Raw genomic sequence first — 18,558 nt, forward strand, 5'->3', positions numbered from 1 at the left:
GCGCGGCGGAGAGGCGGACAGCGGCGGAGAGGCGGACAGCGGCGGCACAGCGGCGGCGCGGCGGAGAGACGGACAGCGGCGGAGAGGCGGACAGCGGCGGCGAGGCGCGCAGCGGCGGCGCAGGCGCGGAGAGGCCGTGGCGCCGGCTCTGGCGCGGAGAGGCGCAGGCCCAGGCTCCACTCCCCAGCTGTGAAAGGGTAAGAACCGAGGGTGGCTGAGACTCGGGGTTGTTCAGGGCGGGGTGGGCTCTGGACCCAGCAGGCCCGGCACCCAGGTCAGGGCTCCAGGGGAGGCCGGGTGGGCGAAGGCCAAGAAGGGGCTGGGGCTGGTCAGGAAGGGCTCCTGGTGACCGGAGCACTTTGCGTGAGCCAGCGTGGGAGGAAGGTGGGCTGGATGAGCCAGGGAGGCGCCGGGAGGGGCCTTGGCAGAGGCGACCCCCTCCGTCACCCCCAGGCCACTGAACCCTGGGTAGCGGAGAACCGACAGGGGAGGCTGCAGACAGAGGAGTGGAGGCTCCCCGGCTTTGGGGGCTCTGAGTAGAAGCATCTAGGGTGTCCCTCAAGAGGCCCCCAAACGCTTCCCCATGGTGAGAAAAGAAGGTGCAGAGAGGGGCACGGCGCTGGTGCAGAGGGGCACACAGCGAGATTTGCTGTGAGTTCTTTTATTGCCCCAAGTGTACCTCATCTTGGTAGATTTCTATTGGCTTTAAAAATGTGTGTGTTTTGCTGTTGGGGAGTGGGGTATTATACGGATGTCAGATTTTGCTGGTTGACTGTTCAGATCTTTTGTAAATCCTTGCTCCTTTTGTGCCTAGTTTCACTCTGTCACTTACACTAGAGTGCGGTGGCACGAACATGACTCACTGCAGCCTTGACTTCCTAGGGTCAAGTACTTCCCCTGGCTTAACCTCCTGAGTAGCTGGTACTATAGGTGTGTGCCGCCACACCTGGCTAAATTTAAAATTTTTTGGAGAGATGAGGCCTTGCTATGTTGCCCAGGCTCGAACTCCTGGCCTCAAGCTATCCTTTGTTTTTGCCTCCCAGAGTTCTGGGATTACAGGCATGAGCCACTGTGCCCGGCCTCTGCCTAGTTTTAACAGTTGCTAAGAGGAGGATGTTGAAGTAGATGTCTTCTTGGTGGGTTAATCCTTTTGTCATTAAGCAGTTGTTATGGTCACTTCCTCTTTTCACCCCATTGGTGAAGGAGGGGTCCCTGCCCTAAAGTGTAGGAGATGGCTGAACACGACACCTGGCGTGGATGGATGCGATTGACAGCAGTGTTTTAGTCACATATACCCACAGCTCAGAGGAGGACACTGCATGCCACACAGGGTCAGATGGGCACCGCACTCTGTAGTGGAGTGAGGGCTGCGGGCTGAGGAAGCAGGCGGGCTTGGTAGTAACAAGAGCACACGATGACCAATGGTTCCCGAGGGGGAATGCAATTGGCTTGTTTGAATAAATTCATGGGCTGGCAGACAGGTGAAGTGAAACTTCTTAGGCTGAGGTGCAACTGTTCTGGCTGATAAAAGAACTAGCCAGGTGGGGAGCCTTTCCTGTTGGGTGGCGGGGTAGGGGGTGTCTGGTAGAAACAGGAAAACCCACGGCTAGGTCTTTGGGGCCCTGTGAGGCTCAAACATGTCAAGGCAGCATAGGAAATTTTAGATCTTAAAATTCAGCGAAGACCCTCTCCAGCTCTGGTAAATTATTTTGCTTGAAGTCTACTTCATGAGATATTAATATATTCACTCCTGCTTCCTTAAAAAATTAATGATTTCACAGGATATCTTTCTCCATTCTTTTACTTTCAACCTACTTAGGTCCTTAAGTGAGTTTGAAGTTTCTTATGAACAGTATTTAGTTGGGCCATGTGTTTATTATAGGCTCTCCATCAATCTGTCTTTTGGTTTATTTAGACCATTTACATTTAAGGTGCTTATTGTTACATAATTGCTTATGTCTGATGTTTTTATTATTTGCTTTTTTGTTTCCTTTTTCTTTCCCTCCATCTTGATCTATTTCTGTATAATGTTGTTGCGTGTATCTCTTTGTATAGTCTTAAAGTGTTTGCTCTGGATGTTACAATATGTGTATTGTAATATAGTAGTCTACTGGTACCAGTATTTACCACTTCAAAGTGTGGAAACCTGCCTTGCATTTATGTCTCTTTACCTTTTCCACTTGTATAAATCACTGGCTTGAGTATTAGGTGGTGGTATAGTTTTTGTTTCAGTCGTCAAATGTGATTTTAAGAACTGTGGATTGTCTCGCATATGTATCCACATTTCTCGTCTTTCCTTTGTCCCTCCTCCCATAGTCCCATATTCATCCCTTCTGCATAAGAACTTTCTATAGCCATTTTTTTATTTTGATTTTTTTGTTTTAATTTTTTATATTGTGGAAATGACAGAACATATTTCTGTAGCCACTTTTTAGCATTTCTAAATTGACCAGTGACAAATTCCTATATTCTCTTCCTCTGAGAATGTCTTTATTTCTCTCTTCATTTCTGAAGGGTAGTTTCATGGGATATAGAATTTGCCTTTCATGTATTCAGAGGTTTTCAGTATTCGTATAATCAAACCTGATAGTTTTCCTTTTGGTTTTGAGGTTGTGTCTTGTTTGGGTGAGTCTCCTACCCATTTGACTACAGAAATGCCCTTTCATTTTAAATATCCTCCTATTATGAAACACATTTCCACATTTTCTAAATTTTTAATTTTTAGCTGAGAAATAAATTAGTAATTATTTAAGTATTAATTACTTTTATCTTGCTATTATTGGTTTTATTTATTTACATGTAGTTGGCTTACATTTAGTTTAGTTTAACTTAATTACTTTAAAGTAATGTATAACTATCTGCAGTTTGTACCTCATGTTCTCACTCATAAATGGGAGCTGAACAATGAGAACACGTAGACACAGGGAGGGGAACATCACACACCAGGTTCTATCCAGGGGTTGGAGGCAAGGGAAAGGAGAGCATTATGACAAATACCTAATGCATGCAGGGCTTAAAACCTAGATGACAAATTGATAGGTGCAGCAAACCACCATGGCACATGTATACCTATGTAATAAACCTACATGTTCTGAACATGTATCCCAGAACTTAAAGTAAAATTAAAAAAAAAATAATTAATTAAAAATATATATCTTCAGTTTGTAAACGTCCCGACAACACAGGAACAGAGTTAAAAGAGTGTGTGTCGTCCTTAGCTGCTCCCACCCCATCGTCTCCTCCCTAGCCAACCCAGCCGCCAGTCTGGCGTGCGCCTTCAAGGTTTCTTCCTAGACACTGGCAAACATAGATCACTATTTTCTGCCACATGGTATCTTTTAAACACACACGATTGTTTTGTGCAGAAACTTTCTATTTTTACCTCTCATAAGTGTCCTGTGGATTCTTTCCATGTCACTGTGGTGTGTGTGCGTGTGTGAGATTCAAGTTCAGCTTGCTAATCTTGTAGAAAGAATTACACTCCACTTCCCCTGTGCTCTGGCCCTCCCTAACACAGCAGCCCATCCCTGGAGGCTGATGGAGCCCCTCGAGCACCTGCTTACCATTTCTGTTTGTTCTGTTTATTCAGGTTTTCTGCCTCCTGCTAAGCCAATTTATACATTCCAAGAAAATCTTCCATTTCATCCAGGTGAAACAGAACCTACTGGAATGAAGCTGGCCTCCCATGGAATGAAGCTGGCCTCCCGTCTCCTTGATTTGAAGCAGCTTCTCCACGTTGGTTATTATGCCATTTTTCTAAATCTAACATTTTAAAATTTGTGCCTTTTCTTTCTCTTTTGCTTGACTTCTCAGAGGTTTTTTTAATGGTCTTTTCAAAGAAGTGGTTTTGGGTTTTATTTATCAAGTCTACTTTTATTATGGCTGTTTTAAAATTAAATACATTTATTTCTTGTTTCCCTTAAAAAAGCTTCTTGTATGTTTACTTAGTTTATATAATTTTATATGTCTTCTGTTGAAGCATATTAACAAACACTTCCAGCTATAACGTTTCCCCTGAGAACTGCTTTGGACACATCCAGAGATTTTGATAGGTCACACACTTATTGTAGTTTGTTTCTGAAAAGTTTTTCATTTTAGTTTTTATTTTCTCTTTTACTCAAATTATCATCAGCTTTCTCCTTTTATCCTGTTTCTGACAAATTAATCTGAGGATATAAATTTCTCCCTAAATGTCAATTTTGTTGAGTTTCATAATTTTAATATGTAATACCCTATTGCTATTGAGTTCCAGGCATTTTATAATTTTCATTGTGAAAACTAACTTTGTTTCCAAAACACACTTTTTCTTCTTTTTTGAGACAGAGTTTCACTCTGTCGCTCAGGCTGGAGTGCAGTAGCACAATCTCATCTCACTGCAACCTCTGCCTCCTAAGTTTAGGTGATTTTGTTGCCTCAGCCTCCCTAGTAGCCGGGTTTACAGGCTTTTGCCACTATGCCTGGCTAATTTTTTGTATTTTTAGTAGAGACAGGGTTTCGTCATGTTGCCCAGGGTGGTCTCGATCTCCTGACCTGGGGTGATCCACCCGCTTCAGCCTCTCAAAGTGCTGCGATTACAGGCATGAGCCACCATGCCCGGCCCCAAAATGCACTTTTAACATGGCCTTTGTTATTCCATGTTTCTAATTTTGTTGCACCCTGGTGAGAGAATGTGATTTGTGTAACAGCAATTCTTGGGAAAGGGGCTGAGGCTTCCTGCTCCTTTAGCACAGCTAAATTTTCCCAAACGCCATCCATGAGCTTGGAAAGAGCATTGTACTCTGTTGGGATGGGCTCAAATCTCTCTGTAAAAATGAGTGTTCTTCTGTTGTTGTTGTTCTGTTTTTTGTTTGTTTTGTTTTGTTTGTTTTTTGTCTCAGTCGTTTTGTTTGCTCAGATCTTTTGATGATCCAGATGATCTTTTAATTTATGCAGGATGTTTCTCTGCTTGTGCAGGCTGGTGGGATTGGGGACTGGAGAGAGGATAAGTGTCTGCTTGCCCAGGACTGGCAAACTGTCACTTGCCCTGGTTGTGCCTTGCCAGGAGCTCCCGTGCCTGTCTCTGAGAGTGTCATGAGCGCAGCAGTGGTAGTTGTGTGGTGGATGCATTTCCCCTGGGTTGGGGGGTGGGTGGCTGGTCCTAGCTCTGTTTGTTGTTGCCGATGAGACACAGCACACTTCTGCTTCCTGATGGATCTTGTCGGTCATTTGACTTCTTCCTGGTCTGGGCTCCTGAGCTGGCCCTCCGCAGGCCAAGCAGGAATGGAGCTGGCTGCTACAAGAGTTCCTTCACTAGAGGGCATCTCTCCTCTCTCCTCCCACACATGGGAACACAAGGGTGGGCTTTCCTCCGCCCACTGTGATCCGCAGCCCGGCTTTCCCCTCCTCACCCTCTGCTCTCAGACAGACTTGGTTTTCGCTGGTGTCTGTGAGAGGTGATTCTTCATGGTGCCAAGAATGTGGATTTTTTTGAGAGCAGGCACTCTCACAGATATTTGCACACCCATGTTCAAAGCAGCGTGATTCACAAGAGTCAAAAGGTAGAAGCATTCTGAGGGTCTATGGGTGAGTGGATGGGCAAGCGAAATGTGGTTATGCATACAGTAGACTGTTACTGAACCTTTACCAGGAAGGAGATTCTTTTTTTTCTTTCTTTTTGTGGAAAATGCAGTCTCGCTATATTGCCCAGGCAGGTCTCGAACTCCTGGGTTCAAGCTATCTTCCTACCTCTGCCTCCCTAACAGCTAGGATAATAGGCGTGAGCCTATAATATCACCCAGCCAGGAGGGAAATTCTGAGAGGTGTGCCAACACACATGAACCTTGAGGACATTGTGCTAGATGGAATAAGCCAGCCACAAAAGGACAAATACATTGCGATTTCACTTACATGAGGGGCCCAGAATGGGCAAATTCAAATACAGAAAGAGCAATGGTTAACAAAAGGAGGGAGTTGGTGTTCAATGGGTCTGGTTTCCTTTTGGGAAGATGAAGACGTTCTGGAGATGGACGGTGGTAGGGGATATGCGACAATGTGAGTGCACTTAATGCCAGTTATAACACGGGGAGCGCGTGTGCACACGGCTCTGGGAGTTCTCGTGCAGCACTCAGAGCTCAGCGTGGGCGAGGGCGTCACCCCTCTGGGGGCGTCCATGGGGCCTTGGAGAAGGGAGGCTTCAGGGCACCAGAGCAGTCTACCGGGAGAGGCCGGGCCGAGCGCTTGTTCACCCCCAGCCCTCTTAGGGAACTTTCACATGCTTCTCCCACTAGGCCTAGGCACCCCTCCCTACTCTCCCTACCCTCCTGGTTCCCTGACCCTCAGTGACTGTGTCCTTCAAGACTGAACTCCAGAGTCCCCACCCGAGGACCCGCAGTGCCCAGCCCCCGCGAGCTCGCGGGGTGTATGCCCACCCCGAGGCTCCACCGCGCCTGTGTGCTGGGAAGCCTGGCTCCATGGGACCCTCGGGCTCTGGGCGCGCTGTCGCTGCAGCTGCCAGCAGCTCCTGAGGAAGTGGCTCGAGGCCCTGGGGCGGGCCAGGCGTGCGGTGGGCCCGCAGCCCTCACACCGGCCCCGGCCGCACACAGGAGGCACAATCAGCAGAGACGTTGGACAGGGTTGGACACTGGCTGTCTCTTTCGGGCCTCAGTTTTCACATCTGAAATAAAAGCGAGCATCCTGGCCCTGGCGCCATGCCTCTGCCGCGGTAGAGGTTTCCACCCCTATGAGCCCAGTGCGCCTTCCAGGCTCGAGGGAGAGGGAGTGTGCGTGCGTGTGAACGCGTCACACTCTTGTGTGAACGCGTCATACGCTTGTGAAAGACTGTGCGTGTGCACACGCGTGTACGTGCATGTGAACGCATCAGGGTGCCCGAGGATGCACACATGCACGTGTGAGTGTGCGCGAGTGCGTGCTCAGAGGACAGCTCTCAGCAGGCTGGGGACCTCCTTCCTCTCACCCCTGAGGGTTTTGGGGGACCAGCCCCCGTCTCCGGGTGCTATGGGATGCCCTGGGGCGAGCTCCCACCGCTGTGCTCGGGCTCCGGCTTTGTGGGGACCCGGCCTTCCCCGCCCGCACCACGGGGAGTTCCACGCAGCACCCACGAGGTGGCGCCGCAGACTCGCTATCGCGGAGCGTGGCGGCTCCCAGCAGCCTTGCCTACAGCTGTGGCCAGGGCGATCCCTCTCAGGCCCAGGCCGCTGCTGCCAGGAAGAGCAGGAACAATAGCCAGTCACGCCTGGTGATGCCCCTGAAGTGCTTATGCTCCCAGGCATGGGCTGTCCACAACGTGCATTCTCTCCTTTTATGCCCCTACTATTTGGAACGCTGTATTTTTTCATTTTTATTTTTATTTTTTGTTGTAAATCTGCCACTTAAAAATACCCAGGGTGGAGCTAAAAGTACAGACACTGCTCAACTTACCCCTGGCTGCGGCCCAATAAGGCCGCTGCGAGTGGAAAATGACTGAGTCCACCTGACTACCGAATAGCACAGCGTGGGGGGGCCCACCTTGGCCTGCTGAGAACACTGCCCTGAGCCTGCGGTGGGCAGAAGCATCAACACGAAGCCTGTTTTGTAGTCAAGTGTCGGATACCTCATGTAATCATTGACTGCTGTACTGAAAGTGAAAAACTGGCCGTGTGGGACTCACACGAGGGTTTCTGCTGACTGTGGATGGCTTTTGCATCACTATAAAGTTGAAAACTGTTAAGTGGAACTGCGGTAAGTCGGGGCTGTGTGCGCTAGAGACCTGAGTTCTGCCGCTCCATAGCTGTGTGACTTTGGACACATATTTGAGCCTGAGTGTCTTCTACACAAAATGGATTTCTTAGCATAACCTACACATGTGTACGTGCCCGTGAGCGTGCACGTGTGTGTTTGCATGAACACATCTGTGTATGCACGAATGTGTGCACATTTGTGTGTGTCTGTGTAAGTCCGTATGTACATTTGTGTGCATGTCTGTGTGTGCATATGTTTGTATGTGTGTGTGCTATGCATGTGTGTGTTAAGGCCCTGGGGTGGAGCTGAGGAGTTGAGGGGAGATGCTGGGAGGGCAGCCAGCACCAGGCGTTTGTTGGCCAGGAGAGAAGCTGCCATCCAGGTGCACTCTGGAGCTCGTGCTTCAGTGGCACAAGGCTTTGGGAGTGAGGAAGCTGGGGGCTGGGGCAGGGCAGTCCTGCACCTCAGGGGAGGTGCAGAGTGAGGCCAGGAGGATGGAAAGAGTGCCAGAGAATGGGGGAAATCTGAGGCATCAGGAAAGGAAGACAAAGGCCATGGAGAGGGCAGCTGGGCCCTGGGTGAGGCCGGCCCTCAGGAAGGAGGTGCCACAGGCAGGGGAGTGCCCAGATGGAGAGCCCAGGGGTATGGACCCACGGGTGTATGACAGTGGGGGTACTCCTGAAACAGAGCAGTGTTATCCAACAAGCAGGGTTGGGACAACTAGTTATTTCATTTAAAAAAACAGGTCAATGTCAGTCCTCATACTGTGCTTTAAAATAAGCTCCAGATGGACTCATGTTTTACATGTAAAGAAAAGAAGGCAAAAAGAAAATAAAGAAAAGGCTTGTAAGCAGGTAGTTAATTGGAGGCAATCCCAGGATGCAGGAGAGAGGGGATGGAGCCACAGCAGGTCTGGGGAAGGGAGAGAAGCCGGCCCCGAGACCGCAGCCCGAGGACCCATTCAGGCCAGCAGTGCCTTCTGTGCACTTCCACAAGGTCACACGTTCTTCCAAAGTTGCCATCATGGAGAGATAGGCTTCCACGTAGTCTTGACTCCACTGGATTTCAGTCCTTAGGTGACTTTTCCTGTGATCACACTCAGCCCTGATACAGTCATTGCTGGGGCCTCCCCTGGCTGGACGTTCCGCTTTTGGTTCACATTCTTTCCTCCTGCCCCGAGACTGGCCATGGGCCTCCCAAAGGCTAGCTGGGAGGACCTCCCTTCCACGGCTGTGCTCTTGCTCTGCCCATGCTGTCGCCTCCATCTCCACCTCCCTCTCCATCCTCACCACCAGCCCTCGAGTCAGTGGGGAGCTTTCCACTCACCAAGCCCAGGCAAGTGCATCGTGTGAATTTCTCTTGCGCCTCCCACTAGAGGTAGAGGCGCTGTTGTCACCCTATCTGCTGAGGATATGCTGGGGCTGGCAGGGGCCACCCAAGACCAAGGGTGTCACTGTCTCCATCCTGTGCCCACCCAGTCCTGCCCCCTGGGCTCCCTTCAAATCTTTTTTTTTTTTTTTTTTTGAGACAGAGTCCTGCTCTGTCTCCCAGGCTGCAGTGCAGTGGTACAATCTCAGCTCACTGCAATCTCTGCCTCCTGGGTTCAAGCGATTCTCCTGCCTCAGCCTCCCAAACTGCTGGGACTACAGGCACCCACCACCACACCCGGCTAATTTTTTATTTTTATTTTTGTATTTTTAGTAGAGATGAGGTTTCACTATGTTGGCCAGGCTGGTCTTGAACTCCTGACCTCGTGATCCCCCTGCTGCAGCCTCCCAAAGTGCTAGGATTACAGGCGTGAGCCACCACACCTGGCCCCCTTCAAATCTTAACAGAGAAGCCACCAAAGTCTCCTTGGGTCCATCACATGGATGGGCCTCCTGGGCCCCTCAGACCCTGGGCTTCCCTTGAGGTCCTGGAGCTATGTGGGCTCCAGCTCTGGGAAGGTGGACCCCCATGCATGTGTCCTGCCGTCACTGTCTCTATGGAGTCTGGCTCACACTAAGTGAGCCATAAGGCCTTCTTCAAGGTCATCTGTCCCACTGATTTCAGACTCAGGGCGGAGTGTGAAATCATCTGTCCCCCACAGTGCACTCAGAACCCTGTCTGGACTAGGGCACACACACATGCATGCGCATATGAACACACATATGCATATGCACGCACACATGCAAGGCTGCAAGTCTCATGCACACACACATGCACACACATGCACATGCATGCTCACATGCACAGGCACTCAGGCACCTAGAGCCTTCTCATCCTGCACTTTGAGTCCCCCCTCCCCTTGCCCATCCTTGCCCATCCTTCAAGGCCTCAGTCAAAAGCCATCTTTTACAAATTGTCTCTGGTTGACTTTCCTTTTTTTCCCTCTTAGAAGAAGCGATGCTGTCCTCAATCATCAAGCGTTCACTAGGCGCTTGGTGTGTGCCAGGCCCCGATGTGGGTCTTGGGCATGTTCCAGTTCTCACGTCCTCAGGGCTCCTTGGTGAGTCGAGGGTGAGGAGGACACAGAGGCACAGGAGGCCATGGGGCAGGTCTGGGTGCACTCAGGCTCCAGAGCTCAGCCCTCCCTGCTGAGTCAGGGCGAGCAGGATAGACGCCTGCTCCTGGAACTCAGTGGGTGAGGTGGACACGCATGCAGGGAGGTACCAGCCTCAGGGGCTGTGGAACAGAGAAAGGGAGCTTCCAGGACATCAAACAATTCCTGGAGTGCCAGGGCAAGAGGGGAATCTGGGTGGAGGAAAGTGTGAACAGGGCAGAGGTTGGAAGTGGTTGTGGCCCCCGAGCATGTCGGAGGCGACTGAGCTGCTCCTTGACTTTGGGCATCTTTGTTCATCTCTGCATTTGCACATTTGTTGAACAAACCTACTGAGACACTTGTTTTCTTTCCATGGTCCATACATTAGGAATATAGAGTTAGCTTCCTGGGGAACATTTTAAGACGTATTCTTAGAGAAGAAACCAGGAGGCATCCTTGTGGGACGTTGGTCCAGGATCTTGGGTGTGTCCTTTGGTCTTTTGTGGGTCAGGTTAGCAGGAATTGTGTCCTGAGGTGTTGGAACTGCAAAGTGCAGGTTCCCTCCTGCCCGCACTGATGCCTTCAGGGAATGGCCTGTCCGCTTTTCTAAGAAGAACACTTAACTCAGCCTTGGCTGACTTCAGCTACCTGTGCTTTCTCCAGCCAGGCTCTGTGTTTTGTGCTTTTACTCTCAAAACAACCCTATTATTATCCGTGTCCCACAGATGAGGATGCTGAGCCCCTGAGAGGCTCAGTAGGTGCCTGAAGGCATTCCAGCCAAGAGGTGGCAGAGCCAGGGCCAGCCTGGCCTGAGGACTCTGAAGCTCCCACAGGCACAGCTCCTTCATGCCAGCTCTGTGTCAGGATTTTCTGTGGTCATCACAGCCATCTTCCTGGTCGGCTAAGTTACAGACAGGGTGGAACTAGGATGGCCAAGCTGGAAGCAGAGCTCATTCCTGAGCAGGGCACCCGGGCCCTGCCTACGGTGCTGGGCAGGCTTCTGGTGTGGAGGGTGGGCTCAGATCCTGCTGTCCCTGTGGCTGTGGGAGGCTTTTCTAGGCACCCTCCTGACTGCTAACACCAGGAGGGCCTATGATATGGGACCGCTGCCCCATGACGTGTGCCAGGTTTCTGCACGCGACTGCTGGGAAAGGCTGGCCCTGGGCTGGGTGGACCCGCACTGCCTGCTGGCCCCTGCACCCAGATGGTGCAGCCCACACCCCTCTGATGTCCACCCATGCTCGGCTCTGGGACTTCCCTCCTTCCACCGTGTCTGACCCTGGTTGCCCTTGTTCTGCCACTGGCTTGTAGCAGCCCTTCCTGAAGCCACGTCCTCCAGGGAGATTTGATTATGTCCTGGTGTTGCAACCTCGCTAATGCAATCAGGAAGTTTTCTCAAGACTTCAGCTGCTTTGTTGGCAGCCAGGCCTGACTCTCAGCAGCTCTGCAGGCTGGAAGGGCCCAAGAGACCCCTCACCCACCTGGTGTCTCCAGCAGTGGGGAGGGCTCCGGGGCATAGCCTATTGCTGCTCTGCTCTCCTCCTTTCTTTGGGTAAGCTCCTTTGCTCTGATTTTATCTGGAATCATCGAGAGCCTCTATCTGTCTAGAAAAAGCACTTAGCAATGAGGAATCAGCACTGCGGAGGATACTCCAGAAAGCAGCCATTTTCCATCAAGATTAGGCTCTTAATTGAAAATTTTAAGAGGAGAGGAAATTAGGGGAGAATCCAGATATTCTCTCCATTATGGTAATTGGCTGTAATCAGAGCCCAAGAGCTGTGTTCAATCCTGGGGGTTCTTCCAGGATTACCAGAGCTGTCATAGTCACCTTCACTGACCTGCACTGGAGTCAGTGGGAGGGGCTGGCGGGGTCCGGGGCTGCTCTGGCAAGTGGATCCAGGAGGGCTGGGCTGGATCCAGGGGGCTGAGTTCAGAGGGGACTCTGCTTAGCAAGTGTGAAACACACGACAGGGCCTTCCAGGCAGAGGGAAGATTGAGAACTGCGGCCGAGCGAGTGCGTCCAGGGGCCCGAGTTTAGTTGAGGGCCTAAGTTTTCCCAGCAGGGCAAGGTTGAGGGTGAGGATGCTGCAGGCCAGTTTTGTATGGCCTCAGAATGAGGACAAGAAGGGGGAGATGGGCCACAGGGATGAGGGTGCCTGCTCCCTGCAGCAGTGTGCACACCACGGCTGTGCAGAGGCAGCAGGTGGCAGGTATTGGGAAGAAGCCCTTCCCTTGTGTGTCCTAGGGGCTGGGCACAGCCTGATGGGCCCCCTTTGCTCACAGTTGCAGAAGCCCATCCATGTAGGGTCCTGCTGAACTGGCTTCCATGGGGCTGGGAAGGACTGGCCTGGCCTCTTTGCTCACTTCACCTTATGGGCAGTGTCCTGCAGGTTTCTGTGAGCAGAGCAGACAGAAAGGAGATGCCCAGTGACGTCAGCTGTCCCCCACAGAGCTTCCTGGAGCCTGGGCTCCAGGCTGAGGGTCCTTGGACAGACGTCATCTCCCTGGCTTCAGCAGAATCACCCACAAACCCACCCTGTGCCCACCCTCCCATCACAGAGAGCAGCTGCTGGAGAAGGCAGCATGAGACTTTGAAGACCTCGAGGAGCAGGAGACACAGGAGACAATGGCCAGGATGGTCATGGTGGCGCGGCTATGCCATCACTGATTTCTGCCTACCTGCCCCCTAAGTCTCACTTGCTACTACTCTCAATTTCCTACTTAATGCTTCAGAGAGCACCAGTCCTGAGATGAGAGGCGGGATGTTCACTCTCTGGGAGTTGAGATGGAACCCAGGCAGTTAGAAAAAAGTGCCACAGCCACGTGCCGAGCCTACTACTTGTCAGGAGCTCAGTGAGTCATCCAATTCCTAAAACAACTGTGCTGCATGTGCTCCACCGCGCCTGGGCGACTCGGGGAAATGGGCTGCGGGAGGCTTAGTGACCTGCCCTGGGTGACACGGATGGCATGGATGCCCTGTCCATGCACGGGGCTGTGCTAGGAGAGGACAGGATCATCCCCAGAAGCTGGTCCTGTGTCCACTGCTCACGGTGGCAGCTGCTTGGGCTGACAACGCCCCCCACCTCCTGATCAGATAGTGATATACTTGGTCCAAACTTCGAAAGTAAAAAAGTTAAAACAGAAAAATAGTCTCCTGGTCATTCATGCTCTCTGGTTCCCTTTTCATTAGTATCTCTTTCTCCTTCTATTTATGGATCTAGTTATTTAAAGCACAGATGGTGACATTCTGTACATATTCTGCATTTTGCTTTTTAAGTCTATTTTATTATGACGTACAATACATATAGAAAAGTGGAAAAAACTGAAATGAATGAATTTTCATGAAGTGAGCATTGGTGTAAACTGAGCCAGTACATTGGGAACCCCCTTCATTCTCCCTCCCAGTTACTGCACCATCCCTCCTGCCACCGGTAAATACTGCCCTGACCTTCATGGTAACTACTTGCTTTGCTTCCATTAGATATTCTATTTTTGTTTCAGCTGTGCTTTTGAACTTTATAGAAATGGATTCATACAGGGTGTATTCCTTCACATTGAGCTGGCTGTGTGCAGCATTGTGTGCAGTTGTTTCATATTGTAGCCGGGAACAGTGACTCATCTTCATTGCTCTTTAGCATTCCATTGTTTAATTGAATCCCAGTTTTCTTTTCCACTGTTGGTTGTGTTTAGATTTTTTTCAGTTTGGGGTTACTATGAAGGATGCTATAAAGAGCATTCTTGTACATGGCTCTTGTAGCACAGTGAACACATTTCTGTTGGGTGTAGAGATGTACGTATATGTGTGTGTGTGTGTGTGTGTGTGTGTATATATATATATACACCCCAAGGGGTAAAATTGTTGGATGTACATACCTTTGACTTCAGTAAATCATGCCAAACTGCTTTCCAAAGTGGTTGTTCATCTTTTTTTCCTTTTGTTTTTCAGTGGATCCTTATAGTTTGGGATTCTTCCATAATGGTACATATAGATGTGTCTCATTTTTTTAAACAGTTGCATAGTTTTCACAGCATGGACATAACATGATTTATTTAACCTGTCTTCTGTTGTTGGACTTCGTTATATTTATACTCAAACAATGCCACAATGAATAACCTTCTTCATAAGTTAATTAAATACTCGATGAAAAATACAGGTTTTTTTTCAGTTTATAAAAGTAATACTTGCTCACTGAGGAAAAAAAATCTGTAAATTACAGAAAAACACAAAGGAAATATATCCTCTGATACAACCAGAAAGAAAACTACTTTTCCTATGTTGTGCGTAGCTCTCTAGTTTTTTCTTTCTTTATATCAATTGGATTTTTTTTTTTTTTTTTTTTTTTTTTTTGGAGACAGGGTCTCACTGTGTCACCCAGGCCAGAGTGCAGTGGCATGATCACAGCTCACTGAAGCCTCGACTTCCCAGGCTTAAGTGATCCTCCTACCTCACTCAGCCTCCCGAGTAGTTGGGACCACAGGCATGTGCCACCACATCTGGCTATTTTTAATATTTTTTGTATAGATGGGGTTTCGCCATGCTGCTCAGGCAGGTCTCAAACTCCTGGCCTCAAGCCATCTGCTTGTGTTGGCCTCCCAAAGTGCTGGATTACAGGCATGCACCACCACCCCCGGCCTAATTGAATTTTTATTTTGGAAGAACCATATACCTTTATACATATTCTTTCTATGACTTATTTTCTGTAGTTGAAGTTCAAGGGTGTTTGACAGTGTGATGTGGTTATTGTTAACCTGTATGTGGGGGCATACAGATATGTTTTTTTACTTTTTCCCATAAGGCTAAGATCATCTCCAGAAATATTAATTTTTTAGACAGTGTGATTATAGTTATTTAATACTCATACTTATCAAAATATTATATGTTAAAACCAATAACCATCTGAACTTATTTGAATATAGTTTTTCCTATTCTGTTCTTAGAAATTTCAGTCACTAACAATCTTTACACTTAGAAAGTGTTTTAATTTTACTTTGATGACAGGAATAGTGTTCTTCTCAATGAAATATAGAATAGCAGCTTATAAGTGATAACTGTTTTCATTCTGTTTTTAAGAGAAAATACTTTGGTCTTTTTTACCATGATAGTTTAGTGTGTGATGTCATAAAAATGGGCTGTAGCCATTTAAATTCTTGTTCAAGTGCAGAAACTAAGAGACTGCAGTTTCTATTAAGCCATGTCAACTCCTATTAGGAGACCTTTAGTGGTTCCAGTTCCAGGGCCTTCTTGAAGAAATTGTGATACTTGTGTAAGTATATCTAGAGTTTTCTTTCCAGCATTGGCTAAGTCACATAGCTGAGAAATATGATACATGGAGAAGGTTGCTGACTGGATGAACTTTTCTACATTGAATACTTTAAATCTGGATTCTAGAATAAAATATATTGATGCATATTTGAGTTGTCAACTGTTTATGTCTTGTTCTTTTCAGCTTCAACATTGCTTTATGGCATGTGTGGTCGTTTTTCACTCCATTGTTGTTGTTTACCCAGTTTATGGGGGTTGTAATGTTTATCACACTCCTTGGATGATTTCCGAAGGTAAGATATCTGGAATGGTTTTTCTAAAAATGAACTCATTTGAAAAATGTCTTTTATGACAATTTTCAGTGGATGGAGCTGTAACAGACTATTTGTGAATTATTTTCAGTCATGTTTACACCAGAGTTGTCCACACTAGAATTATCCATTCGTTGAACTCTGAGATAGACTCCTTTTTTTTGAGACAGTGTCTCACTCTGTTGTCCAGGCTGGAGTACAGTGGCATGATCACCGCTCACTGCAGCCTTGACCACCTGGGGGCTCAAGCGATCCTCCCACCTTAGCTTCCCAAGGAGCTGGTATTACAAACATGTGCTACCACGCTTGGCTAATTTTTAAAATTTTTTTTGTAGAAACAGAGTCTCCTTATTTTGCCCAGGCTGGCAGGGGTTGGGGGCTGAGACTCTTTCTTTTGTAAAAGTTGGTTCTAAGTGACTACTTTTTAGAGAAGGTACCCTGCCTTTCAAAGACCTCATAAAGACAGGATTTGTACCTTCCAATATAGTTAAATTCACACATTAGACCATTTTATGTTGAAATTATATTAATTTGTGTCAGCTTATATTCAATGACTGTTGGCTAGATCATTCTTAAGAAATGGGAATACAGGAAGAATGGACAATTTTACCCAACTGGGAAAAAAAATTCTACCATCTTCTAATTATTCTGACTTCCTCATAAAAATGTGTTGGATGACACAATCAGCTTTTGTTTGGTGTTATTTATAGAATTTCTGCCTCCCTACAGATCACCCCATCCTGAGATCTGCTGCCTTACACAGTGGAGGCTGTTTTCTGAGTGTCGGATAACTCTGTTATTAAATAAGTGCATATTGAGAATACTCACTCCAGATGCTTAGAGGCATGTTGAGAAGGACAAAGATAGTGCCTCCTGTCAGGTCACTTACATCAGAACTTGCAGGAAACCTGCTTTATACAGCAGTTGACAGGTGTGGAAATTGAAGCTCATGGAAATGAAAGTTAATACGCTAAATTTTCAAGGAGTTAATGAAAACTGACATTTCTGCTAAAAACAGCATGTTCTCCCTGTGGGATTTTAAAGGAAGGTCAATGGTAACTGTACAAAGAAGAAATGGACACAGTCTCATTGTTAGCAGTCTGAAAATAGTTGCTAGCACCTCCATGCCCACGCCAATGTCTCCAGCCTCTTTCAGGCACCTTGCTGTGTCTTGGAACCACTGGGAGCCCTCACAGGAGGCCCTTCGTTCCTGTATGCATGTGGTGCCACAAGCTGCTTTGGGCCCGGAGGAATCCTACACATCTCAGAACACTTCCTCACCTGACCCTGTCACCCATCTCTCCCCTTCTCATGTGCTCAGCCCCTTCTTTGACTCTTGAATTTTGAGTTTTTACAGATGTTTGGGAGCTCTTACCCTGACATGAATTTACAATTGTAATGGAGACTCAGACAACGTTGTAGATCACAGAGTGAACTATGCTTTTTAGTGTTAAATGCAATAGCTTAAGATAGAATGTTTTACTTGTTACATAAATGCTGGTTTTCTTTCAGATTTAAGGATATATACTTTTTTTTTTTAAGAGATAGGGTCTTCTATGTTGCCCAGGCTGGCTTTGAACTCCTGGGATCAAGTGATCCTCCTGCCTCAGCCTTCAAAGTAGTTGGGACTACAGGCCCACGCCACCGTGCATGGCTGGACACGTAAATTTGAAGTGAATGGTTAAACATCCAGCTAGCTGAAAGCATGACAGACCCTAACAGAAAAGCTACAGTGTGTTTTTGCAGCTATGAAGTGAATGGTTTCCTGGGGAAAATTGTGACTTTGTATAACTATTTTTGAAACCAGAATAAATTATATTTCACTTGCATATTCTTAAATTATTAAAATTTTCAGAAGTCAGTGATACAGAAATACTATTTTGCAATGTTAATCTGTTTGAGTCTTTGGAGAAAGTGGTTTCATTATAGGTACATGATGCACTCTTAATATTTTAAACAAATAGTTCACTCTTCCATTTAAGGGATAGCAGTTCCTTGTATAAAATGACTGGATATGTATAAAGGAATTACGTTGTCATGTGCCTTTAACCAGCTTTAGTAATTACTATAATCTCATATTTATGATCGTTTTGTTAGGTGACAGGACCAAATGAAAATATTTTATGTTTTCCCATCACTTTAGATTTTATCATTGTGTAAATTACTGGGTTTTTAGCATTTCCTAATGTGAAGTTTTAATCATTTTTAAGTATACATATTTTTTTCTGTACCATTTAAATAAAATATTTTTATAACTTTCTTGTGAGTTTTGTTCATGCAAACTTTGGAATGACTTCTGGTTTTTAGCTATTAGCACTTTGAATTAACCATAGAAATAACAAGGGCTAACTCTGTTCTTCAAAGACTTTATAAAGACAGTATTTGCACTTTCAAATGCAAATATATCTACATTAAATCTAAACAGCATAAGCATTGTGACAGAATGTACCTCATGTTGATTGTTTTCTCTGTAAGGTGACTTCTAGTAATGATTTGACTTAATCACCACTTGTGTCTGGTTCAGATCATACCCTGCCATTTACTAGCTGCAAGACCTTCAGTAGTACAGGTTTAGTATCCCTAATTTCAAAATCTGAAACTTTTTGATTGCTGATATGGCACTCAAAGGAAATGCTCATTGGAGCATTTCGGGTTTTGGAATACAATGCAAGTATTCCAAAATCCAAAACACTTCTGGTCCCAAGCATTTCAGAGAAGGGGTAGTCAGCCTGTAATCTTTTTTCAGC

At 47.2% G+C, this 18,558-nt stretch overlaps 1 long non-coding RNA gene across 1 annotated transcript; it reads left to right on the top strand.

The window, feature by feature from the left end:
• Window positions 1-127: 127 nt before the first annotated feature.
• Window positions 128-17,637, top strand: LOC105371175 (uncharacterized). The gene is made up of 4 exons (XR_922007.3): window positions 128-197; window positions 3,590-3,735; window positions 15,685-15,793; window positions 16,541-17,637. It is a non-coding gene; the product is annotated as an uncharacterized LOC105371175 (long non-coding RNA).
• Window positions 17,638-18,558: the final 921 nt, after the last annotated feature.

This window comes from Homo sapiens, chromosome 1 (genome assembly GCF_000001405.40).
Source record: "Homo sapiens chromosome 1, GRCh38.p14 Primary Assembly".
Classification (NCBI taxonomy): domain Eukaryota; kingdom Metazoa; phylum Chordata; class Mammalia; order Primates; family Hominidae; genus Homo; species Homo sapiens.